Source organism: Homo sapiens, chromosome X, assembly GCF_000001405.40.
Source record: "Homo sapiens chromosome X, GRCh38.p14 Primary Assembly".
Lineage (NCBI taxonomy): Eukaryota > Metazoa > Chordata > Mammalia > Primates > Hominidae > Homo > Homo sapiens.
In genome coordinates, this window is record NC_000023.11 from 131,047,161 (window position 1) to 131,073,576 (window position 26,416).

Genomic DNA, 26,416 nt, shown 5'->3' on the forward strand with positions numbered 1-26,416 from the left:
GTACGAATGTAAAAATAATATTAATATTCCCAATAATAACAGTAATGATCAATCTTTAAAGCTTGTTCTATGGAGTGCCACTGCCAGAGGTTGACACATCATCTCAGATGGTGCGAAACATCCCCAGGGTCCATCTGCATGCAGAATCACAGCCCACATTCTTCTCCCCGTTTACGGAGACCTCACCCTCCCAGAGTCACACACATAATTTAGTCTTCGGTGAAATGATTCTGACGCTATAGAGGCTCCCTGGAGAATGGATGCTGTGCGGAGGCGGGCAGTGTGGGCTCCTGACTTCAAGCTGCAGGAAGGCGAGGAATTGATACATCTCCTAAGCTCCAAGGGCTCAACTCCTTTGGAGATCAGAAGGGCTTTGTCAAAGCCTGACGGTTTATTAATAATTCTCTCAACTGAAGAGAGCCCCATGCTTATCAATTGACAAGTATTTAGTGAGGACCCTCTGTAGGGGAGCTAAAGAGGTTTGGCAGAGCTGACAATGTGGTTGAGGAGACAGACCACAGACATAGAAAGATTATTGACAATAAAAGCAGTCCCTTCAACAAAGAGATGCTAGCAGCTGAAGCATCTCAGCTGGAAAAAAATGTAGAGTCAGGAGATTTGACCTCACAATCTCTCTGAGACTTGGTTTCCCTATCCTCTTAGAAAGGCAGTCTGGTATCACTTAAAGAATATTCACTTTGGAGTCAGACCAACCTGATTTAAAATTTCAGTTACCTCACAAACTAACTAGGGGTCATTGAACCAGTTACTTAACTCCTATGAGGCACAATTACCTTATGTATAAATTGAGATATAATAATAGCCCCCACCTCATAGTGTTGTGGTGAGAATTAGATGAAAGCACACATGTAAAATGCTAAACATAATGCCTGGCACATGGTAAACATTTAATAATCTGTTCTTCTTATTATAATATGCAGGGAGAAAGGCAGAGAATGTTTGGAAATAGAAGGGTTTTATTTTCCTCTTCAGCTTTTTATATGCATGACATTAAATTTCATACAAATGCAAACCAAAAAATACTCATATGTAAACAATAATTATAATATCACTGTATGATACCTTTTATATGCCTCCCCAGTATTGCTCACTAAATTTTGTATGATCAAATTTACAGAACAATGAAATAGCAGAGGAGGCAAATTATATGCTCCTTGTGATCTTGAATTCCTTTCTGAGCTTCAGTTTTCCCATCTGTATAATGTGGCTAAGAACACCTACTTCACAGTGCTGTTGTGAAAATTAAATTAAAATATGTATTAAGCACTTAGCACAGAATAGGCAGAAAACAAACATTAGCTCCCTCCTCTTCTCTCATCTATAAAAATGAGAATAAGAAAAAATTATCCTCACAGGGTTATGATGAGGATGAAGACAGGCAAATATACAGGAAATGCTTGTAAACTGTAAAATCCCCCATAATAGTCTTTACAGAACATTTGAAATGTACCAGGCATTGTGCAATTAACAAACGTTAATCAATTAGGTAAACATTACTTAAGTGTCTACTATATGGAGGACACTATTTTAGGTATTGTGAGCCATCCAGAGAGATAAGGGCCATCAGAGTAGATGAGCCCCTCCACATAAGAATAGAGCGTTGAGGACAGGACCTGAGCAATGCTCCCATTTAGGGTACCAAACGAGAATGCAGAGCCAGAAGGAGAAATCAGAGGTAAGAACACCAGTATAGCAGTGTCCGCAGAGCCAAGGGAAGAGTGAGTTTCAATAAATAGAGACTTACAATGTAGCATTCTGCAGAGAATGAAAATCAAAATAGGACAGAGATGTGTCCCCTTGGAGCAGGCCTCCAAAAAAAACATTCGTAACTGCTTTGAGAGGGGCTGTGTGTGTCTGCACGTGCATGCACGCACGTGCATGTATGGAGGGGGTAGGAGCCATCTTGCCGTGGATGGCAGGTATGTTTGGGGAAACGTAAGGTGAGCATATCTAGAATACTCTTTCAAGGTGTTAAGGACTAAGGCTGAGAAAGGAAGCATGGATGATAGCTAGAAGGGGACGCCGGGTTGAGGGAAGACTGTTTCCATATAGGAACGTTTCAATGTTTTTGTGGGCTACAGGGAAGAAGAAGCCCACAGGGAAAGAAAAGATGAATAAGTAGATGACAGAGAGGATTACTGAACAGACAGAAGAAGAATTCTGAGAGATGAGACCTGGGAGGTTTGGCTGAGAGCAGAGGAGTTTTCAATTAATAAGGAGAAAGAGATCATGGGGTAGCAAATGGCTGTCAAGTAGCCAAGAGGGCTGAGAGTTGACAAGGAGCCATTGCATCTAGAATTAGGAAGGCCTCAAGAGTGGAAGTGGAGTGGGAAGAGGTAAAATAGTGAGTTGATGGTAGACACTACACATTTGAGAAGTTTTGCAGACCCAGGAGCAGGTAGAACAAGGCTAAGGGAGAGATTATGCTTTACGGGGAGGTTTGAGATGTGTGTAGGAAGGAAGGAGTTAGCGGAAGAGAAGAGGCTGAAGGTAGAAGAGGGTCAGAGGTTTCTTGGTGGCTGAGGTGGCAGCAGCAGAAGGGGCCGAGCTTCAGAACACTAGTGAGGAGAACCCCAGAGAGGATCCCTTTTTTCCTTTGAGGTGGGAGGAAAGGACAAAAAAGCCAGAGGAGCCGACGTTCTGCACTTGGTCCTTGAACCTGGCCTTGGGCACTAATATCACCACTGTTGACCCCATAACTTTCAGGGCATCTCATGATCACTGAGTAGATTTGAGGGACTGTCTCTGAGGACAGCAAGGTGTGTGATTTGGAGAATATACTGGCGGCTCTTTCCCTAGGGAGATGGCAGAGAGCTGTAGCCCCAGTCCCAGGATACAAGGCCCCAGAGCCTGGCCCAGTGAGGAGGGCCTACAGTCCATGACCTATATCCATGTTACACAATCTCTTCCTTCCCTGTCACTGAAATTGCCACCCCAGAGCCAATCTTAAAAATGAAGTCAGGGTCCACAGTCACTCAGAGACTTAAATGTTCCTGTTATTTGCTAAGGCACTAGGGACCCAGAGTCCTGTGATCTGGCCAGAAATTTCCTTATTAGGGGCAAAAGGAAGGGCTTTCTGAATATAACCTGGTCTTCCCCTCTTCAACATGTGTGCACAGCCTGCCAAATGCGTCAAATGGCCGTCCTGCCACTTGACCCAGCCTCAGCTACAGCCCCTCTTCTCCAGCATGGCTGCTCTCTGGTCATAGGCAGATGCATCTCTGATGGCACCTTCCTGCCTTACCGCTTAGTTTTCAATCTCATAACTCTCCTGGGATCTGGGGGGTGGAACAGCAGGACGGTTATAAGCCCTGGGTGCTTGAAAGCAGGAGAGGGTTTTGGGCCACAGAAGTCAGGAGAGGGGGTCCTTGGGTGGGGGCCAGACCCAAAGTAGCTCAGAAGTTAAAGTCAGTCCTTGGTATCTTTTGTCCCAGGGTCAATTTTGGTGTTCACATACCAATCTTATGGCTCCTGGGATGGAGGAATACAGGGAGGGAAGGGCAAACAGCCCCTTAGTTAGGGAAACCTAGGGCTCTGGAGCTAGCCTTGCATCTTTGTTTAAGGTGTGGGTTGTCCCAGGATTGAGTTATAATGGAGAAAGACCTATTTGCATTGACAAATGGCACTTAATGAAGGGAATGATTAAAAGCGAGGGAAGCTACAGGCTCAGAAATGTCAGCGGTTGTTGTACAAGAGAATTCTTTTATTGCACTTTCCTCTCCCCCTTCTCCCTCGTCCTTTTTCTTCCCTCCCGCTATTGCTCATCTTCCTTCTTCTCCTCTGCCCTCCTCCTGCTTGCTCCATCCACCTCCACCCACAGCAACTGATGTGATTTCTCATGATCTACAGTCAAATGCCATTAATCCCGACAGACTCACGAGGGTCCAGCTAAGCTGTCCCATGAACCAATCCTGTGAGAAGACAGACCAGGGTACGCAACGGGCAGGCAGCCCCCCCACCCCGCCCCCTCACGAGTAATGGCAGATAAACCAATAAACCAGAGTGGCTGCCCCTAAAATAATCAATAAATCACTTGGGGTCCAAGAGAGGTGGAAAGCTCCCCAGCAAACAGTGCTCAGGATATTTTCCATTACCTTCTCTGCCTTGAATGTCCATGGCACGCTAGCCGCGTGGGCCAGGACTGACTCTGCTCTCAAGGTGCCGCTCCCAGATTCCGCCTGGCCCTCTCAGTTTCAGAGGGAGGTAATTCATTCCAGTGGGATGTGACAGGTGCCATCTTCAGGCGCCCGGCTCTGCTCCCAGCAGCAGGGACTGTCACTGACTGCAAATCCCCCAAGTGCCACGCTGGTCTGAAGAAAGCAAGCCCTGGGGTGGGCAGATGACCTTTCAAGAACCCAGGAAGCCAAAGTGGGATAGCAGCATGATGTAATGGACCGAGCCCTGGACTAGGATGCTGGACACCTGGCTTTTAGTCCCTTTTCAGCCACTAACTTGCTAGATGATGTTGGGTAAGTCACTTTCCCTTTCTGGATCTCAGTGTCCCCTTCCCACCAGCCCCCGTGATGTGAAGAGGTTGGACTAGATTATCTCTAATGGCACTTTCAACCCTGATAAGCAAGTTTTGAAATTAAAGAAAAAATTATTTTTGGAAAATTGCCAGCTCTAATTAGAATTTGTTTAAGGACTCCTCTCAGGCTCTAATTTAAGCTGCTTTACCATCAAATCCTTCACCCTAAACTCCCATGCAGTACAGGCAGCCACTTACCAGCACCCAAGCTCCATCTAAGACATCACAACCACTCACAGGTGTAGCCTTCCCCTCCTGCAGAGCTAGTTCTGTGTTTGGGGCTGGGTCATCCTGATAGGGTCCTGAGGTAGAGCCCCATGAGATGCATGCACCACTAACACTCAGATTTTAGCGTAGACCAGTGGGGTGGCTGCCTGGGAGGAGATTCTCCTTAACTTATACTTGTGTGTGTGTGTGTGTGTGTGTGTGTGTGTGTATACATAATAGCACAATAAATTATCTCTATCTATATATATATATATATATAGATAAAGGGAGAGAGAAAGAGAGAGTCATATATATATATATACTTGAAAATATGTTGCAGATATCATGACATTTCACTCCTAAATACTTCAGAATGCATCTCATAAGAATAAAATGTTCTTAGCTGGGGAGTTTCTCAGGCTTTCTAGGGGGTTTGGAATTCTCAGCAAGGTGAAAGTCTCCAGTTTTTGGAGTCCAAGGGAGGGGTCAAGAGACATATAAGATCTAAAGACCAGATTTTAGGCTGGATATGGGTAGTGTGAGAGGGAGCCATGTACAAAAGAAGGAAGCACAAAAGTGCTTCAAGAACAGGTTCCAAACAAACAAAAAAGGCAGTGACTTTAGGCAAGTCACTCCCCTTCCTCAAACTTTAATTTCTTCCTCTATAAAATGAGGGTTGTGCTAATCTCTGTCCTGCCAACCTCCCAAAGCTGTATGCAATTCAGATTGAAAATACATATGAGAGTACGTTGGGAGCTGCTACACTTAAATATATAAAGGCAAGTGCTTTGCAGAGATGAACTTCAGAGGTAGTAAAGCCCATGAGTCCATGGTAACACATAGAAGTGGACGGTCCCCCTGCTGAGCCCCTAAACTCTTGTTATTGGAAGCCACAGAATTTTCTTCTAGAATGGAAATGTCAGTGGCTTGCATGTCTTGTAGTTTTTCAAAGGCATAAGCACACACCTGAATTTTTTCTAGTTCTTTTTTCAGATAACTCCATTTTCTTATTGATTATGGCGCACAAAACTGAAAGAAAACATCCCTGTGCTTTTTGTTCTTTCTGACATTTTTTCCTGTGCCCCCCTTTGTTCCCACTATTCTCCCTACCCCACCCTGTTGAGACTTCTGGAGTTGGAAAATTCTTTCATCCTGCCTACCCCTAGCTCAAAGAGCAAAATGCTTTACAAAATTAAGTGAGCATTTGGGATTTTTAACTTGATTTTATCTTTTCATTCAACCAGAGGGGTATGTGTGTGGGAGATGCGCTTGTCAACTAAAAGCAATTTCTCTGCCTCCTTGGGGACTGAAGCGTAATCGTTGCTCTGTCTTTCTGGTGTCAGGATGAAACCTGCATTTCCTGAGTGGTGTCAGCACACTGACAGACAGCTCCTGGGATCTAGCAAGGAGTACCGGAAAAGAATGGGCAGGGGGCGAGAGATGTGGAGGCTGGTCTCAGCTCATCTCTTCTCCCCTGGGTGACTTTGGGATAGTCACTTACTTTGCCTCACTTTTCTAAATCTAAGAAAATGGGAATAATTCTCTCCCATATCTACCTCACAAAGATGGTGCCAGGACTTTGTCAGGTTTCAGTGATATGAAAATTTAGAATTAATAGAGCTATGGGAAAAAAGTGCTATGGAAGGAGTGTACCCCTAGAAATGCTGTTAAGTAGCTAGAAAGGAACTTCAAGATTTCTCTGTATAAACCCATTTGAGAAATGAGGAAACTGAGGCCCTTCTGAGGTTCGAAGTGGTCCCCCAAAGCACCCATGATTTCACTGACATGTTTACCATTTGCCCAGCTAAGTCTTTCACAAATAGAAAACCAGGGAGGCAGGGTCTTGAGGTCCTGGGGCTTGGAGTCCCCTTTAGAGAGCAAATATGATCCCTGTGTGCTCTGTGTGGACCTTCTGATAGGGCTTCTCAAAAGGAGATGCTGGGGGGCAGGGTGCTAATCTGCCAATTCCCTTCATGGACCCAGAAATAAGTACTTTGTTATCTCGTTCCTGAAAATGCAGAGACCTTCCTAACAATCTGTAGAGCAGAGGTGTCCAATTTTTTTGGCTTCCCTGGGCCACTTTGGGAGAATTGTTGGGCCATACATAAAATACACTAACACTAATGATAGCTGATAAGGTAAAACAAATGGCAAAAGAATCTTATGTTTTAAGAAAGTTTACAAATTTGTGTTGGGCCGCATCCAAAGCTGTCCTGGTTGCATGTGGCCCACGGGCCATGGGTTGGACAAGCCTGCTGTAAAGGGAGGTGGGTGGCAGGACTGAGATTCCCACTTCATGGAGGAGGAGCCTGAGGCTCATGTTGGGAAGCAGACACACATTCACCCAGCCAGTCAGCCAGTAAGTCCAGCCTCACTCTTGGCATTTTAACTGCCCTTTCCACTGTGCTCTCTTGCCTGATGCAAGGAACCCAACAAGTAGAATGTTCAAATGAAATAACCTGACTGGGAAGTGCTATGTAGACATATACACAAGGATTCTTAGAAAATCCAAATGAATGACTTGTATGGAGTATGCTCATTTTGAATACACCTAGGCCTTATGAAGAGTCAAGTTTCAAGGTTTAGTCAATTTTCCATGCTACATATTTCCCCATGCACCCAAAAGAAGTAGAGTGGGCTTAAAGTGACCAGTTTCCCCATTTGGTTGCCCCAGTGTTTCTTGTGGCTAGGGTGCCGCAGTGTTCCCTGTAGCTAGGGTGCAAGGGGAGGGTTTGCAGGGAAAGACTTCTTTCTTCTATATTAGAGTTTCTCTAACTTTAGTGGGCGTAAAACCACCATGGAGGGCCTGTTAAAAATACTATTTTCTAGTCCCCATGCCCAGAAATTCTTGTTTAGTAGGACTGGAGTGGGAGCAGGAAATCTGCATTGTTATATGACATTCCAAGTGATTCTGATGCATCTGGTCCAATAGATTGTACTTTGGGAAACACTGATCAACAACAAGGTTTAAGGGCCTTTAATTCCTAGAGTCCCATTTAATTAGCAATTATATGCCCGGGTGTCAAGCACTTTTGGGCTTCAGGAAAAAAGTTAAGAAGGTCTGAAGCCTATCTTCTAAAAGTCAACAAGCCCCAGATTCACTTTATCATTCTGGCTAAAGACCTCTGGGAAGACAATGACCCAAACTAGGAGCAGGATGCTTGGCTCTTAATTGGAATTACAATAGAAGACGCTTAAGAAGCAGTAAACTGTCGTGCCGTAGGTCTTGGACTGTCAGAGTGAGGACAAGGATGTCCTATGTATCCCTTGTGAGCACATACCGTGGGATGAGGGATTACAGGTCCAGGCTAGCAGGCTCCTGGCTGCTCGATGGGGGCACTAAGGACTCCTACATCCTCAGAAAGGAGGAGTCATAACTTGTTATGTGCCCCTGCACAGGAGGGGAATTCTGCGTTTTACTCGCAGGCCAACTTTCTCAGCCTTTTCTGGGTCACCAAAGCCAGCCCAGGTGCCCTGTGCCACTGGCACAACCCCAACCTAAAGGCCCTCGTCATTCTCCTATCTAGCCTAGTCCTTTATTCAGCAGAGACGAAGTTGTAGATTTTTTTCTAAGTAGGATTTTCTAACTCCAGAAAATAATATAGGTTTATTAAAGAAAAATTGGAGAATACTAAGATATGAAAATAATAAAACAGTTAAAAATTGCCCATAATTGCATTACCTAAATACAATCACGACTCAGATTCTGGTGCGTTTCCTTTTAGCCTTTTTTTTTCTGTATATAGGCTTATTATTTATTTGCGCTGTCTATATTACAATGTGTGCACATTTTGCATCCTGCCTTTTTTTCATTTAAAAATATCATACGCGTATTTTCAGTTTATCATATAAGCTTCTGAATTATACACTTAAAAATAATTGCATAATAATTCATTGAGTGAATCAACATTATTTGCATAGCTCAATATCTGGCACCTAGAGGACATTTGAAAAATATTTGTTGTATGAATTAATGGATTGATGGATGAATGCATTTCCCTATTATGTCTATTATGCCCTTCTACCCCAGGAAATTTAGTTAAGGATAAAGATTTTCAAAGGTAATGTAACACTAAGTAATTAAGTGGCAGAGTAGGCAGGTGGTCAAAGAAAAGGGACAGGGCAGAACTGCTAACTTAGTTACTAAATCAATTTTTTAAAGAATTCTGACCTCTGTATTTCCTCTTCTCTTTTTTCCCAAAAGAGTAGATGCTTTGGTCCACCTGGAGCTTTTTCATAGCTATTAATATCCCCATTTTACAGGGGAGGAAACTAAGCTTCAGAGAGATTAAATAACCCTCCCAAGATTACATGGCTAGAACATAGCAGAATTGAGCTTCCAATCTAGGTTTGTGAGTTTCTGTAGCTTTGTTCCTTTATTACATTATACCTCTTGAGAAAAAGGCAACAAAGAAGGACGGCTGTCATGGGTTTGTACCTCATGTAGAGCTGCCTTGGAAGCAGAGCAATTTCAGTTTCCGAGGACTCTGGGATTGGACCAAGCAGGCAGATTTTGTGCCATGAGGGAGCCCAAAAAAAGCTCATTCAGTTGGAAAAAAAAGGAACCCATTGAGGCCATTTCAAAAGCTGGTGCTGGATAAGCTCATGGGAAGAGGTAAGGCTGAGATTTCAATATCCAGGGCCTGAAACTGGACATTTCTAGATGTTAGGCTTGTTTGGCTTGGATGACTAAGTATTCGTAAAGAAGAAATCGGTAAAAGAGCAGGTCTGGTGAGTGTTTGTTGTCTGTGATTGCTTTTAGAAAACAGAGAAAATCAAAATGATTTAGAAGTTGGTACAAAGGCAGAGAGGTACCATTTTTCCCAGAAAGGAAGGAAAACAAGTGGAGGGCCTTTAAACTCTGAAGATAGCTCTGCTTTGCTAAGAATTGTACAGCAAAGTACAGGCAATTTTTCCATTTTATGCACCCCTTTTGCCGCATTAATACTAATATCAGTGGTTAGCAAAGCAAATATAATAACTGCTCTCCCCAGTGGACCCAGTGATTGAGGCTTCCACTCCTCTGGCCTGCAATCGAACTGTTGGAAGGAGATTTTCCATATTTCTTTCTACCTCCTCACTAGCATTTTGATCAACAGAGCCCCATTCTCCCAGTGGAGAAAAACAAGGCACAGAGTCACGTCTGTGGAGCTACCACTGGCGAATTGGGAGAGAAATTAATTTGGGCCCCTGGGCTTGAAGTAAAAAGGAAATTTCGTTTAGAAGCCCTTCCTGCCTAATGTGGTCCATCTCTGGTGGCTGCTTCTACCCCAGGATTTGGGGGGCAGGGCTCTTTTTACCACCACCAGAGGCCCCAAACACTGAACCCATTATGGCACGTGCTTCCATATGTATTTAAAACGTAAAAATACAAAGCCATAAAAGAAGTGTAAGAAAATCCAACACAGTACCACCCTCCATTGAAATATCAAATATCAAATTCTTTCTAAAAATAAATGTGGGTCCCCCTCCCATATCAGTGCCCTGAGCAAAAGCATTGGCAGTGGAATCTGTAAGTCGGCAGCAACTGGGGGGCACCCCACGTTTATACATACTTGACACTGGGTTCTTTTATCTCAGTTGATGATCAACCCCCTCAGTACAAAGGTTCCCAGGCAGGAGAGCATCTCCCTCTTCGCTGCGGAATTCGCAGGAGAAGGGAAGTAAGATTACTCTCAGATATGGGACTTCTTGGGGGAGGCGGCAAAATCGTTTTTCCTGCTCACATTCTTGGTCCTCTAGAACGGACCAGTGATTTAAATCAGACTTGGAGCTACTCGGGGCTGAGGTGATGCCTGCCCTAAGAGAGGGGTTAAGGGTGGGGGTGGGAGGGTCCCCAAGGGCTGAGACAGCATCTCCCCTTTAGATTCAGGGATCCTGGGGAACACACTGCTTCCCGCTTAGACTAGGCCTCTTGAGGGCTGAGATAACGCTCCGCTAAATCGTGGAGTTTTCTAGAGCCTGGGATACTGTCTCGCTCTCAGATCTGAGGCTCCCTGGGACAGGTGCGCTACCTCGCCTTCAAATTCCAGCCTTTGGGGGCAGGCCTGCTTTTATGTGCCCGATCAAGGGCTCCTGGGGTGGGGCTGGGGGACAAGGACCTTCCCTCCCTCTCAGATTTGGGGCTCACCAGGGCTGAGATGGCGTCTCCCCTCAGACTCTGGGCTCCCTGGGGTAGGGGCAGGGTCCCGCCCTCAGAATCAGCTTCCCAGGACAGGAGCTGTGTGTCTCTGCCTCCCTTCGCGTGGGGCAAGGGGCTGCGGGACCAGCGGCCTCTCTTCTGGCAGGAGGGGGGGTTCCCCGGAGGCCCTGCCCCCTTCGTGACATGCTCGAGGTGTCCGGTGACCGAAACACTCTTAGCTGGGTGCAGGGTGCGGCTCAGGGCGTGGTCACCGGGGGCTACTTAGGGCCGCCGGTGCGGGGGACGACGCAAAGGTTAACTGCGAGCTGCCGGGCACTCAGCGCGGGTCATGGCGTGGATACTGGACTGCCTTTTCGCCTCGGCCTTTGAGCCCCGCCCCCGCCGTGGTGAGTGGGGCCCACCGAGTCGGGGGGCTGGGGTGCTCGGCCGGGGGCGGCCGGCGGCTGCAGCCCCCTCTGGGCGCCCTGGGGCTTGGCTGGTCGCCCCCTTGCCTCCCTTCCTGCTGGCTTTTAGCTAATTGTTCCTGGCTCAAGGGACTGCCCCGTCGAGGCCCCGCATAAATCACCAGCTTTGCCGGGAACCGCGAGCAATCGCGCTAATGGCTCGGCGGTACGCGGGACGAGCGCGTGGGCGGAGTCGCTGGCTCAGCCGCCGGCAGGGACAGCCAGAGCCTTGGGGCCAGACGCGCAGGAGCGGCGTCCCGCAACTCAAGGACCCTCAAGGCCCAAGGATGAATGTCCCTGACAGGGCAAGCCAGGCCCCAGGGACCCTGAAGGAGGCGGGTATTCATTTTGCCTTGAAGTTCGTCCCCTTGTCTCAATCTCAAACACAGAATATCAGCAATGGACCCCCTAGAGTCGTCGAATTTAACCCCTTCATTTAAGAGATGATGACACTGAAGATGGGAAAAGCCTGCCCAAGGTTACCCAACAGGTTGGCAGCATACCTGGGTCAGCTTAGGCTCTGCCAGCTGCCCACTGCCCCAGACTGCCCAGTAGTGGACCCCTGCGGTCTTTAGTCGGGTTCTTTCCTTGGGTACTTGAGATCAATGCTTGGTTTCCCTATTTCTGTGGAATTGAGGACACAAGTGTGCAAAGATCACAGCACCGGCATATGTGGGTCACATTTCACCCCTTTTCGGGAACTGCTTCTACAAAGTACATTTTGACAACTGATTATATTTTCATCCTTAAAGTTTCAGGAGACTGATATTTTCTTTTTGACATACCCCAGGACCCCCACCCACACTGTCCTTCACTCCCCCTTGATAATAAGCCCCACCCCCTTCAGGCTGCCACCTGCCCCCACAGCCACCTGTTTTTTCATAGTCTCCACCTCCAAAATCTATATTGGTGAGAGTGCGTCATTGGGCACCAGCCATAGACCAAACCTGGGGTTGTCTCCTCTTTCCTCTGTCCCTTCACAGGCGGGGGAGGGGAAGCAGGGAAAGGAGGGGCCTCAGCAACTTAATTCAGCAGAGACCTGTTTTTAGTTCTTGCCAGCCCCAACACCCTGCTGAGAACCATCCCAGGAGTTTGACCTCCTGCTGAAAGACTACAGCTTGCTTAGGCAGTTCAAGTACAGCCTCAGGCCAGCAACAAGATCTCTGAGAAGGAAAAAGATCTGCATACACACAGAGTTTAATTTTTTCTTTTGCATATTTTTAAGGTTTATATGATCCTGGTGAATCAAAAATATAAGGGAGTTTTATAAGATGTCTTTTAAGGCCTTACTGCTCTAACAGTATACCCTGAAAAAGGGGGTGGGGGAAACATTTCACAGTTGCTTGGACTAGAAGGTTGTCATGTGACTCCAATGAGATCAAGGACATGAAGGCTCCTTTATGAGTAACCACATAGGAGGGAGTCCATATTACACCAGGAAGCCCATTCCCATCTAAAAACAGCAATGTCTATTAGAATTAGAAGGCTTTTCTTTAAACTGAACCCAAATCTATGTCCTGGGAACTTCCACCTTCTGGCCCTGGCATTGACTTCCATGGTCCTCCTTCCTAGGAAACAGTGTCAGCTCTCCCCATTGTCCCATCCCCTACTCACCCTGTTCTTACCTAGGCCAAACTTCCCCAGTTTCTTCATCTATTTAACATGTGACATAGCTTCAAGGCCCCTACCCATGTCTAGCTGCTTTTCTTTGAACATGCTCCAAGTTATAAATGTCCAGTGACCAGGCCAAAAGAGGCTTTCCAGCTGTGCCCCTATAAATATAGTCCTGGAAAGCTGACTTTCCCTCTTTTAGAAGCCTACACCACACCCAAGGTACACACATACGTAGTCATAAACACACCCATAACATACACATTACCACACCTATGCATGCCCATTTGCAAAGCCACGAACACACACACACACGCTTCACATGCACCACATACTTTCCACACACAACACAATATACTCACATCACCTGTGTATGCACCACTCACAAATCCCATGCACAGCCACACAGTTCACACAAAGACTTTATTCACATTGAATTACTTTCAACGAAAGCTACTCTTTTTCCTTAAGTAAACCCAAGTTCTTTTTGGAGTCTCCATTCTGTATTTGGTGTTTGAACTCAAGTGTAAGACCTTATATTCGCTGCTGCATTTCTAGTCTGGTGGTACCTGTTCCCCAACATACCCCTGCAGCACACCACTGCCTACATCAGCTCTATTACTCAAACAACAGCAGCTGATATATGTGAAGCTCTTCCCAAATGTTGGGCCCTTAGGCTCAATTGCTTACATGTATAATCTCACTTAAGTCACAGGGCATCACTTTGAAATAAATAATCTTTGGGTAGTTTTTTGACTGGGCAACAGCTCATTTCATTGCACTCCCCCTGAGAAATGCTGTACAATGTGAAGGGTAACTTTGTGGGTAACTATTGATATTCTGCAGGGCTATAATTGCTTTGGTGCCTCCCTTTGAATGTCCTTCAGAAGTCTTCAGGAGTCAGAGATGGGGTTGGGGGAGGAAGCTGTCAGCTGACTGGACAGAACTGGGGCAGTATCTAAATGTTCCTTCACCCCCATTCCCCTTGCCCAAGAGATAGCTGGCATGTGACAGCAATTTTTTTTTTGAGGGGCAGGTTTATTTTGTCTTCATTAGAATATCATCACTCTTTTGTTGATGTTTGCTATTTTTTTTTTTGTTCAACTCTTTTTTAAAAAAATTTACTTTAAGTTCTGGGATACATGTGCAGAACGTGCAGGTTTGTTACATAGGTATACATGTGCCACGTTGGTTTGCATCAGAGAGATTTTTCAGGGCGACAACGGGCAATGGGCAACCATAGGAAGGCACTTGGGAGAGGCATCACTGAGGTCTGGGAGGAATGAGGGCCCAGAAAGGCCTTCTTTCCCAGGGAAAGAGACAGCACAATTGACCCACTTGAAATTCTCTCCCCAGTTCACTCTTGGCATTGGATTTGGCCTCAAACAATTGGACTTCTGTAAAGCAGCCAAAGCTCTAAAGCTGAAGGGACCCTGGGGCGCACTTTACATACAAATTTGATCTTTTCTTGGAGATGGGACCGAATCGATTTGCTGAGGCCAGGCCTAGTTGTGCTGCAGCAGGATCAGTTTCCAAAGCTGGGGCGTGACTGCCAATGAGACCAATGAGACACCCCATTCTCCAAGTCAGGTCGTCAGATAAGCACCCCCATTCACCAATGGCAGGACTTCCCCAATTTTCTTTATTACTTGTTTGTACCTCAAAATACATTTCTCCCAAAGAAAAAAAATGTGATGCTCTAGAGCTTAGCCCATACCTTACCCATCGTGAGGATAAAATACAGAATCTGTGTGATGAAAACTGGCAGAAAATAATACTCTTGCAAATATATCTCAGGCTCCAGCAGTAGAGCTGACATTTATCAGGCTTAAATATCAAATGATGGAAAGCATTGAGCACTGATACAGCAAGGCACCAGGTCCGTGAGGGTGATTATGGCAATGGTGAAAGTAACATCATTCCTTTTTTTTCACACCTACCTACTACAACAACCTAAATGTCCAACAATAGTGGAATGGTTAAATAAATTCTGTGATATATCCCCTTATTAGATTGCACAGAATCATAAAAATTGTTTTTGTGAAGAATATGTAACAACATAGAAAATGGTATGATTGTAACTGTCAAATATGCATTTTTGAAAGACTAGAAAGAAATCGACAATAAGATAAAGTTAGAGAATCTATTAAGGTGGTGGGATAATAGTTATTTTTCTCTATGTTTTCTAAAGTCTATGAAGTTTGTTCTTCAATTACTGTTATAATTTAAAAAGGCATACAAGGGTAAATTTAGTACCTGTGATATGCAAATAATCTATACAGTGATCTAGAATTTCACTATACATAGTTTAAAGAATTTTTTCTCCTAATTTTAGTTTAAATGTAATGACTAGATCCGGCCAGCCAACCATGATCTTCCCAATGATCATGAAATTTCCACTAACTCTGGGTGGGAAGAGGAACAACTGGTTTGAATCCCAGGCCAGCTCTTATAAGGTTGCTGTGAGAGAGTTACTTAACCTCTCTTAAAATGACATAATAATGTCTATATTTTGGGGTTGTAAATAATAATAATAGTTCTTATTACTGCTGTTGTAGATGTCATTATGTTAAATGCTTTCTATGGCTCAGTTATCAAAAGAAGCTTTTTTCCCAAATGTTTACTATTTGTAAATACCAGTCATACTACATAAACTATCTCTAACCATAACAACTTTCTGAGGTTAGTATTATTGTCTCTATTTTAAGGACAAAATCTCAGAGAAGTTTAGTAACTTGCCCACTGTCACACAGTGGCTGAGCAGGGATTACAATCCTTTTTGATCTGACTTCGAAGCTTGAGTGAAATTAAAAGAGAGAAACATTTGCAAAACTCCTATGCTGACATATGGCAGACATTTACTAGGTGGTCAACATGATGTTGGTGATACTTTGCCCAGGACCCAGATGCTGGTCTTTGACTTATTTGATTATCTATAAATTTCTTTCTGTGAAAAGGAATTTCAACTGAAAGATGCAATACAAACGCACCACCTGTGTCCTCATAGATGTGGCTCTGAGTCACTAAGAAACGATTTCTGTTTCCTTCGGCAGTATCATTTGTTCTCACATGTATCAGCAGAAGTAGGTAGATGGCATGTTTGATGAGCCTTGGCAGCTACTGTCACGTCTCAGATACACTTCCTGAGAAACCACGCGGCTTCCTCGGGATGAGTACTCAATACTCAGCAGCTGGTAGGTCCCTGCTTATTAAGGAAACTTACTAAGTGGCATGGGCATATCTGGAACCCCTGCTCTAACTATTCTCTGTCTGATGTGGTTGACACCTAATTGCTACCCCTCCCATTTCCCTTTTCAAAGCTAAGGCTCCAGGATTTCCACAGAAGCATACAGGGGTAGGAGCTGGAGAAGTTTTTCGAAATTCTTAAATCCTCAGAGGGACTCACTTGCAAGGAGGAATCTAGGGTTAGTGAAGGTAGCATGCAGGATAAATAGAAGGGATGAAGGAGAGGGAGGAGTTGAAGGCACCTTCCAGAGTCTGGGAACATCTAGGGGTGGACCTCTCAGAGCTTTTCCTGCCATGAATCTCAATACCTCTCTACTCTGTAGTCTCTTTATCCCTCCCTGGGATTATATCCACCACCACCACCCCTCCCCCGCCCCCAATTTCTTGATCTTCCACCACCGCTCCCTGCTTAAATGCAGCTTTAGCTTGCAGTGACTTGCTTTTGTCTCTAGAGGGAGGCAAAAGCACCAGGGAGGAGGGGGTTCAGATTGGGGTCTTCTTCCACTTCACTAGTTTTGGCAAAGAGTAGAATTTATTTTCCTTTCATTGGGAACATATGAATAAAAGCTAATCAGAGATGTATTTTAAGTGCTGCATAGCATATCTCAGAGAACCATCATATCTTTCTCTATCATTCCATCTACCCCTCAACGTAGGTGGCTGCTAGAAACTGGATGGTCTTAGGCACTATTATTTCTAGAGTGAAAGTGAGGGCAAAGCAAAACAGGAGTCATAGGGCAATCTTAGCCAGGAAATAGTCATGCTTTTATTTTCTGGGGCACAATGGCACATATTTAGGAGACTGGGTTGGGGCTGGGTCAGCAATTGGGGTGGAGGGAAGTCTGGACAGTGAGCAGAAAGTTTGAAACTTTCCTGTGTGGAGTATTACATCTGAAACCTTGGTCTCATTAACACTGCGAGGAGAAACTGCAGAGTGAGAATTGGACTTAAGGTCCAGTTCTTCCGGGGCTGCATTAGGCTGATCAAACATCTTCCTAAAAGAAGAGGGACTATTTCAAGAGTGTCAGACAAGCCAGTAATGAGGAAAATTGGCAGTTTAGTCAGTTGGCTCCACTCCCTGAACACCATGGTTGAGACACTCTGGGCTACATGAGAACGAAAAAAAGTGCAGAAGGGAATTAACTAACCTTTTCTTAAACATTTACTGTATCTGTTAACCACTTGGCTGGTGGTTTCTATGGTTTACCTCCTTTAGTCATCTGAGCAATTCTAGGCAGGTGTTAACATCTCCATTTTACAGTTGAGGAAACTGAGGCTCAGAGAGGTGAAGTATCCTTCCCAAGATCACACAGCAAGTAAGTGCTCGAGCTGGGATACCAACACAAAGCTGTCTCATTCCGAAGCCTGTGGTCTTTCTCTGCCCTCCCCACATGGAAAAAACAAAAGCCCTGATTTTCAAGGGCTTTACTCTCATGGGGAAACCATGATCTCTCTCCCCACAAAAATCCACATTTTGGTGCCCTGCTCCTCCAGATTCTTATATTTAGGGTGAAATCAAACAAATCTCTGTTTATATTGGACAGTAATGGGAGTTAGTAAAGCATTTTCACCTTTACAATTCCCCATATAATCTTCATGTTATGGGAACACATTTTCTGAACTCCAAAGAGAGAGAGAGACTTATGACAGCGATTTTAAGCTCCAAGGAAGTGTGTGTGTGTTTGTGTGTGTGTGTGTGTGTGTGTGTGTCTGCGTGTCTGTGTGTCCATCCCATGGTGGTGGCATATTGATAGGGATTCTGATAGCCCCTCTTATTGCCCCAATTATATGGGTGGGGGGCATTAGAGAAGGATAGCTTTCAATTATTCTAATAGCCCCTGGCCCAGGACTGCATCTTTGGAGACATAGCCTGGAGCTTTTGGCTTCTTCAGAGTTGAAGTTTGTCTTCCATTGCACAGGCAGGAACACTGAGCTGGAGTGAACCAGATGGTCTTTATGAACCAAAGTGGAACTTACACAACAGGATTTAGATGGGTAGTCTAGCGATGTGTTTATGCATTTGTGCGTATGTGTGTGTGCTGGTGTTGAGAAGCAGGGGCAGAACCTCTGAGGAAGAGAGGCCTCACATGAACAGCTGTGAGGAGGTGGAAGTGAAGCCAGTATATTCAGAGGAGAATGAGGAGGTGTCAGATTGGCCCCACAGCAGCAGGAAAGCTGAGCATCTGAGACCAGATGCTGGGAGATACCAAAGTTTGCCTGAACACCTTGTATGGATTTAAGTTTAATGAAACCAAGGGGCTTCAGGTGGTCTATGCCCTGCCTGAGTAAGACTGACGTATTTAGGCTCCCTTTCCCCCTCCAAAGGATACTTTCTGGCTACATAATACTTTAGGCAATGCTTTCTGTGCCCACCCAGGATGAGGTGCTGACCCAGGCCCAGCTGGGGGGAAGCTTTATGGATGTTCCAACTGCTTTTCATCCACGCACCAGGCTCATTTGTGCCAGATGAAAGGGCACAATAATAACAGTGGCAATTTAAATCGTGCTTCTCACTTTCCCCCTGAAAAGTGGCGAAGTGACTCACCACTGTTGAATTGTCCCTCTCTATCCACCCCCTGACCTCTTTGCAGCAGTCTAGGCTGGTTCCCTGGGGGCTAAGCTGGGAGCTAGAGCTTCCAGAGGCCCTTTAGCTGTGACTGGGATGACATCATGCCCCCCCATAAATGTGTTCCCCAAAATGCGATGTATTGCTTTAATTTGGGTTTCTCAGATGAGGCTGCTTGGAAGGCATTAGAGCAGCATGAGCCCCATTAGGCAAGTGCAGTGCCCCCCGACTCATGAATAATATAAAATGGGGTCCATTCAGTAATCTTTTCTGAGGGAGAGGCTCTGCTTGTTTTTCTACATGCAGTTTGGTATGCAGATGCTTGCTCTATTTGAAATTCGCCATATACCAACTTCTGGTAGTGATATTGTAAAAATGGGTCTGGGGGAGCTGTGAAATCATTCTGTTACTCCACCCTGATTCTTCACCTCCATTTCCCTCCATACCCAAATCCCCTGACCCTGTGGCTAGAAAATGTTCATTTTCAACTCTTTCTTTCAGCACCAGCCTACGGAGAGCTCCCAGAACTGGAGCTAGTGAGGTGCACTTGTGCCTAGAGTAATTACAGATTTTGAAGTATCAACAAAGCAGGTAATTAGGTGGAGAAAGTATCCGCTGTCTGGGAGACAAAGACAGTAATTATGATGAGTACTCTTGGTGCTGTCAGTAAACTCAAAAGAAAGATTTGTAGAGAAATGATAATGTTTGATAGAAACTTCAATGTCTAGCAGGAATCAGGGGACTCTTAGTAAAGCCACCTGGTATGTAATACAGGTTTAGGAAATATGGTAGACCTGAGTTCAAATACCAGCTCAGCCTCCTAGGGTCTGTGTGATCTTGGGGAAATTACTTAACTACTCTGAGCCTGATGTATGAAGTGTAAAAATAGCAATAATTATAGCTCTGTCTACCTTACAGGATCATTGTAAGGACCCAAGGAGATAATGCATGTCAGAACACTTAGCACAATGCCCAGTACACAGTAGGTACTTAACAAATGGCAACATTATTATTATTATTACAACTATCCTTGCTACATACCAGGTATTCTCTACAGCCGTTCAGAGTTTAAAAAGGGAAAGAAATGATTGCAGTTATGTATGATCATGGCATGAGAAGTATGAAGGGTGTAATTGTGGTGGCTCAAAGAAGCGAGCCCTCAGTTGAGAGGGAAAAGTACAGAAGAGCAGAGAAAGTTTTGTGATTCTGGAGTTAGGTTTAAAAAAAATAAGTAGGAGTTTGTCACAAGGCCCAAGGGGAAAGGGCTTCCAGGCAACTGGATCTGCCCACACAAAGCCAAAAAGGTGTGAAACAGCCAGGCCCTGAGCAAATAGTTGGGCTCAGCTAGGCACCAGCTGGGATCTCCTGGGCGGGGGAGGGGTGTCAGGTCAGAGACCAAGAATCTTTCCAGCTTACTCCCACCAGCCCCTGTATCGCGCCCTAGGCGCCCTACCTGGCCAATCACGTGCGGTGCCCTCCTCTTCTTTCCTTTAAGCAGCCAGGTACATTCACACCCTGCCCCAGCGGGCCTTGCCGACACAGAGGTGGGCGGGCAGGCGAACCCCCACGGTGAAGATCAGACCAGCGGGAACCCCTGCCGGGGTCGCGGCCCCTACTTCCTTTCTTCTCTCAGTCCCAGCCCAACGTCCCACTCGTCCCCGCCCCCAACCACACACACGGTCACTTGGGTTCTTTTAGACAACCCTGTACTCTCACACACCGCACCCATACACTTACGCGGCAATCCCCCTTCAAGACACACACAACCCCTTCATCCAAGCACGTAAGCTGACCACATGCGTCCACACCACACACATGAGAACATCACACCAAAAGACACACACCGCACCCTCACATGCATAAACCTTTGAACACACATCTCAAGTAGATTGACTTATAGAGAAATCTTGCACACGCACACATTCACACACTACACAGTTCAACAGACACCACCTGTAAACCCACATTGACACACTGCATCTAAGCATAAACACACTCCACACATATGCACACAAGCTTCAACGGGCACACACACATCCACACATTGCACACACATATACACTCACCACAGCACGACCACAAACCCCGGCAGGAACAGCACACACCCACCTTCAAACCGCACCCACATAATCCCACTATAATCGGGCAGAAACATACAACCTATAAGCGTGCACACACAAACACATGCTGCATGTCAAAGCGCAAACCAAATACACACCACACCAAGCACTCCAGCTAAAACGTGCTCCGCGCACACACCCCCCACACCCGGCCACACACCGAACGCACACACAGATCTACCGCACCCGCGCGCGCGCACACACGCTTACATGCATACATACATACATACACAGCCCGCCCCCGCCTTCCCTTTGGGCGGAAGAGAAGGGGGCGAGGAGGAGAGGAGGGGAAAAAAGGAGGGGGGATGAGCGAGCCAGGCGGGGCGGGCACAGATGCTCTTTTCCTTTTGACCTGGGGTGTTGCCCCCATGTTCCCCATTCCCAAGCAAAGGGAGTAAGTGAGTTGGATCCAAGGAAAATCCAGGCGGAACCCAGGAAAACAAGAAGGTCTAGGGAATCAGCGAGCTGGCGCGAGGTCTCCGCGGGGACCCTGACTCAGCGCACTGTCGACCCCGCCGGAGGCTCCTCCTCCCAGTACCCTCCCCCTGGCCCTTTCACTGCCTTGACCTCTGTCCCCCTCCGCACCCCCACCCTCAGCCAGGACATGTGCTTCTCTCCCCGGCCCCCACCCGCCCCCACCCCCCGAGCCCCACTGGAGAGAACTGGCCACTGTTAAGGGTTGAGGGCTTTATTGGTTTCAAGAAGTAAGGAGTTAAGACTGGCAGACAAGCTTTTTGCGAAGCCTGTTCTAATCTAGCTTGAAGACTTTTCTTAATGGAGAGCTCACTCTTTCTCAAAGCATCACATTTTCTACGTAAAGGGCAATGGCTATTAGAAATCCCCGACCCCGCGCTGGACACATAGTAGGGCTCTCTAAATGTTCCCCCCTCCCGCTTATGTCACCACATTTGGCAAGGCTGTCTGCAGCCTAGCACTGGCTCGCAACAGCTGTTGGGCAGTCAGTCGGTGAGCTCTTTTCTTAGCCCACTAGCCCTCCTGAAAACAGCAGCTTCGGACTGGGCGCCACAGGCGGCAGGGGGCGATAGAGTCGCTAACGGTGCTTTGCACTTCTGGTTCTGGCCGCACAGCCCCTGTGAGAATCTCTGAGGTGCCCTCCCGCCATAAGCGGACTATGCGAGTGGTGGCGGCGGGGGTCACTCCGGAATGATCCGCGGCCAGATGACTTTCTGGCTCCTGTCCTCCACTTGCTTCTTTTCTGTGGAGATGGACAGCAAGGGAAAGGGAGATGGACCTCCCCCTCCGACTACCCCGTGGCGCATTATGTAAAGTGTCATGTAAAAATACCCAGGCTTCAGAGTTCTTTATAGGTTCGAATCCCAGCTCTGCCACTTCTTAGCTGACTAACGTGGTAAGTCGCTGGCTTAGGTCGCGGGGTAGTTGTGAGGCTTAGAGGAAGTAACATATGTGAAGTACTTCTTCCAGTTAACATACAGAGGATGTCCATTCCCTCCCTCTTTCCCCCACCCTCTTCAAAAATATAAAGATATGGGAGTTTAAAAGAAAGGGGATTAGAGTCTGGCAGGGGGGACATGGCCACCAGCTGATGCTCCCAAGCCAGGCCAGAAACACAGAGGACGGGCAGGAGTTCAGTTAACTTGCAATATGCTGTATTTAAGGGAAATGCCTGCACCAATGATTTGGTGATGCCATTCACTGGCCACAAGAGAATCCAGGTCACAACTCCAATCCTTGGATTTGTGATGAGGCTGTTCTGCCCATCACCTCCCCTCCTTACAAGGACTTCCTAACTCACCTCCACTTGTATTCTTTTCCTTCTTACAGAGATGCCACAGTAATATTTTTAAACTTCTTGTGAGCACTCCTTGGGTGCCAGGAATGTCTCCTGTTAACTTATGTCCCAGCAGCATCTAGCGCTGTGCCAGACACACAGTGCAAGCGCTATACAGGCGGCAAGAGATGTCCTGGGTGAAATCCCTAGGAAACATTGAGACTCGAGGGTACATGAGGAGTTATCATAAGGAACCTAAAGAGAGGACCCTAGGCACTGCAGGGATGGAGGGCAGTGGCTTTGGATAAAGAGTTATTCCATTGGACAAAGAGTTATTCCATTGGACAAAGAGTTATTCCATTCCTCCTCAAAGCCCTCCACCTCTAAGCCTGTCTGGAAGAGCATTGCTTCACTGCGGCTGAGGCTTCTGCAGGCAACTAAGAAGAAAGCCTCTTTCCTGGAGGGCAGAGGCCCTGGCCAGCTAGAGGGTGATTCACCATCTCAGTTAGGTAGCAGAGATGGCGCTAAAGTGGCAATGAATCAGTCCAAGATGGCATGAGGAGATTACCTGAGTGATGATGAGAAGGGGGATGAGGCAGGAGCCTGAGCCCTTGAGGCTGGGACTGAGTGATAGAACGTCTATATTCATATGCACAAAGTCAGCTCCTAACCTGCCTCCCCAGTTCCACAACCAAGTCCCCAAGGATAGCATTGGCACACTCCTGGGGAGGGGAATGTTTGGGAGACTTGGGTTCCAATCCTGACTCTGCTACTTACTATGTGACTTTGGGCAAGTTATTTTCCCCTCTCTGGGCTTCAGTGGCAAGGTAAGTGCTAGGTACTTCACCTATGTCATTTCACACATTCCTCTCCACGGTATTATTGGAGCACTAATTTTCCTATTTTGCAGTTGAGAAAACTGAGGCTGAGTGATATTTTGTTATCTACCTTCTCTCTATATCATGCGGTCTTTGTGTATGTATGTTACCAGGCAATCGCTGTAATCCAGGCCTCTTCTAGTATGCCAGTCCTCTATTTAAATTGGATCCCTATGTACTCAGGTTCAAATCGTGTCTCCCAGCTGCCCCCAATACCAGCCCATGTTGCTAGTTACCTGGGTGGGTTTTCTTTTCCTCTCCGGCGACACCCTCTCCCACCTCAACTCAAGTTTTTTTCCTGGCATATAGGTCTAAAATCTCACATTAAAAAGCAAGCGTCACCAGAAAGACGTACTCCAATGTTTTGTGTTTTATCACAGTGGAGGGTGCTGGTTGCAGGGTGCTGGTTGCAGGATGCTGCAGTGAGGAAGGGGAGCAGAGCTTCCAGGGCCAGAGGGAGGGGCTGCAGAAAAATCCAGGGAGAGAGAGAAGACAGAGAGAGAGAGAGAGAGACAGAGACAGAGACAGAGAGAGACAGAGAAAGAGGGGATGCCAGGGACAAATTGGACCAGCCTCAAACTGCTGCTCCCTCCCTTTCTCCCCCTCTACTTACCTGGTGCTCTAGAATGTATAAAGGGGCAGCACCCAGTCCACTTACAGCAGGAGGAGAGGGAGAGGTCCTCTCCTCTCCTCTCCTTCAATGGAAGGGCAAATTGTCCTGAGTATTCAAATTGTACTCCTGTGTTGGGTAAGATTTATTTAATTCTGGGGGGAGGGGAGGGCGAGGGCCTCATCATGGTAGCAATGATGGTGAGGTGGCACTTAAATTGAAAAGAGCACCACCAGTGCTGCTTAGAGCCAGACGCTCTCTCTCTTTACTAGAGGATAAGTGAAACTTGACACTGGGCTTCTGGATCTTATTTCCAATCCAGGCACCTAAGAGTCATATCTCTGAGCCTTTGGAGAATAAGTCCATGTCTGCCTGGGCTTCCACAGCAGCTATACTTGGAGCCAGCAGCTGTACTCTATCCTTTCCCTTCCTTTTTCTTCCTTCTCTCCTTTGCCCAGGCTCTGCTTCCCCATGTTTCCCTCTTGCTGGGCTCACCCATAGTCTCTTATATTCTTGACTCTTCTCTTTCTTCTCCATTTCTGTCCCTCTTTGTTGACAACACTGTCCCTTGTGCATTTACTTGGCCCAAGACAGGAGAGAATTCAATTGGGGGGGGTGTAATTGTGTATTTGAAATTCTCCCACTTAAGATCTTGTGATTATAACCCCATATTGCCCTTGTTGCATCAGATAAGAATATTAAGCTCTTGTAAATTATATATTTTTGCTTGGTTGAATGGTGATTTGTATATATGATTGGTGGGCTGCAGTTTAGAAGAGAGTATTTTTGGAAGAGGTATTAAAAGGTAAGATGGTTTGGGCTGGTGTAGATGGCCTCCTGACTTCTCTAAGTGCCTAGATATGCAAAGAAGACAGTACATGAAAAATTAAGACTATAGTAGTGGGGGGCAGGGGTGGGAGACCATTGCCAGCCAGGTCGATGGAGGACTTTGTGAAGTCAGCTTCTGTTTTGCTCTTGCTGATCATTGAACTTTGAAAAAAATGACCTTTTTATCTCTGAGTTTGGAAGACCAGAGGCCCTAGACAAGAAGACCAGAGGCCCTAGACAGGAAGGGGAAACAAAAAGCAGAAAGAGTGAGGCAAGGAGGGGAAAGGACTATTCCTTGTGCAGTCCTTGTGTGCAAAGGGCCAACAAAGAATGTCCCCTGCCCTCAAATGCCACACCAGTCAAGGCAGAAGGGAAGCAAAGTGCTGTGGCAAATTGTGTGCTGAGCTGGGATCCAGGAGTTCTGGACCTTCATCTTGGCTCTGCCACTAATTAGCTGTGTCCTTGGGTAAGTTTCTTAACCATCTGAACCTCCATTTCTGCTCTTCCTTCACTTGTACTGTGAGATTGTGTGGCATGGCCAGGGGAGGGGAGGTTCAGAGCATTCAGAGGGAAGGGACCCTTGGGCTGAATCTTGAAGGAGAGCTCTGCTTTGAATAGGGGAGAGAAGATTGTGGGGTACAGTGAGAACCAGTGGGAGTGGCCCAGAGAATTCAGCAAACAGGTATACGTAAGGCACTGAGCTGGCTGCTGGGTAGAAAATTGCTATGAATCAGCCCCCTCCTCACCGCGGCAAGCTTTCCAGAGAGTAGGGGAATCTGAGAGGCAGAGCCAAGCGCTGGCAGTGCCTGCAGCTCCTCTCAGCACTACCCGCTGCCGCCCGCCGGACTGTCGAGCAGGTCACGCAGCCTTTCCCTGGCCGGACCAAGAGGCTCGCCAAGAGGTAGTGCAGGGGTAGGGCACCAGTGGCCTGAGCGCAGCCCACTGCGGGGTGAGAGAGGGAGGTGAGGGCACTTCCACGTGGAAGGCCCGACGTGAGGGAGGGAGAGGAGACCTGAGAGTGTGGAACAAGTTGCCCAGGCTTTTGCGTTCGATGTCTCAAACGTAAGAGCGCAAGAAAGATTTAATTTTTCTAATTCTCAGAGGAGCAGGAAGCAGTGAGTGGTTTCCGCGCGCCGCAGGGCTTTGTTTAACTTTACAGGTTCTGCGCTGCCTGGAGCTACCCAGGGGCAGGACCCGCGCAGCGCACCTCAACCCAGCCTAAAGGCCATGCTCTGCAGCGCAGTGGCAGCCAGAGACCCAGGGCAACCCCGAGAGGCAGAGGGCGCACATTCCGCAGCCCCCTACCCTCACCTCTGTCCCTAGCTCAGAGCCGAGGGCACGCAGCGGGACGGGTGCTCGGGCGGAGGGTCGGAGGTGGAGACAGGCTCAGTCCCCTGCACTCTGGCCCCTTGGAGGGGCTTGGGGGTGGTGGGCTCTCTCTTCAACTGCGAATAGCAGCCGTGTGG

At 46.9% G+C, this 26,416-nt stretch overlaps 1 protein-coding gene and 1 long non-coding RNA gene across 3 annotated transcripts in view, besides 3 other annotated features; one reads left to right on the forward strand and one right to left on the reverse strand.

Moving 5' to 3' along the window:
* LINC01201 (long intergenic non-protein coding RNA 1201) overlaps nucleotides 1-10,986 on the reverse strand; it is a 41,678-nt gene extending 30,692 nt beyond the window's left edge. The window contains exon 1 of the long non-coding RNA NR_126350.1: nucleotides 10,887-10,986. This is a non-coding gene — a long non-coding RNA (long intergenic non-protein coding RNA 1201). The remainder of the gene's footprint in view (nucleotides 1-10,886) is intronic.
* Nucleotides 10,538-11,191: an enhancer, noted in NCBI's record as "H3K4me1 hESC enhancer chrX:130191672-130192325 (GRCh37/hg19 assembly coordinates)". NCBI's record gives its function as "activates a minimal SCP1, AML or CMV promoter by ChIP-STARR-seq in primed H9 embryonic stem cells {active_cell/tissue: H9 hESC(primed)}" and the evidence as "EXISTENCE:reporter gene assay evidence [ECO:0000049][PMID:30033119]".
* Nucleotides 11,186-26,416, forward strand: part of ARHGAP36 (Rho GTPase activating protein 36) — a 31,540-nt gene continuing 16,309 nt past the window's right edge. For both annotated transcript variants that reach the window (NM_144967.4, NM_001282607.2), the window contains exon 1: nucleotides 11,186-11,284. Coding sequence is in view for 1 of the 2 variants with exons in the window: in NM_001282607.2 (NP_001269536.1) it covers nucleotides 11,227-11,284 (58 nt within the window). In the remaining variant the exon portion in view is untranslated. The remainder of the gene's footprint in view (nucleotides 11,285-26,416) is intronic.
* Nucleotides 11,192-11,844: an enhancer, noted in NCBI's record as "H3K4me1 hESC enhancer chrX:130192326-130192978 (GRCh37/hg19 assembly coordinates)". NCBI's record gives its function as "activates a minimal SCP1, AML or CMV promoter by ChIP-STARR-seq in primed H9 embryonic stem cells {active_cell/tissue: H9 hESC(primed)}" and the evidence as "EXISTENCE:reporter gene assay evidence [ECO:0000049][PMID:30033119]".
* Nucleotides 25,310-26,030: an enhancer, noted in NCBI's record as "H3K4me1 hESC enhancer chrX:130206444-130207164 (GRCh37/hg19 assembly coordinates)". NCBI's record gives its function as "activates a minimal SCP1, AML or CMV promoter by ChIP-STARR-seq in naive H9 embryonic stem cells {active_cell/tissue: H9 hESC(naive)}" and the evidence as "EXISTENCE:reporter gene assay evidence [ECO:0000049][PMID:30033119]".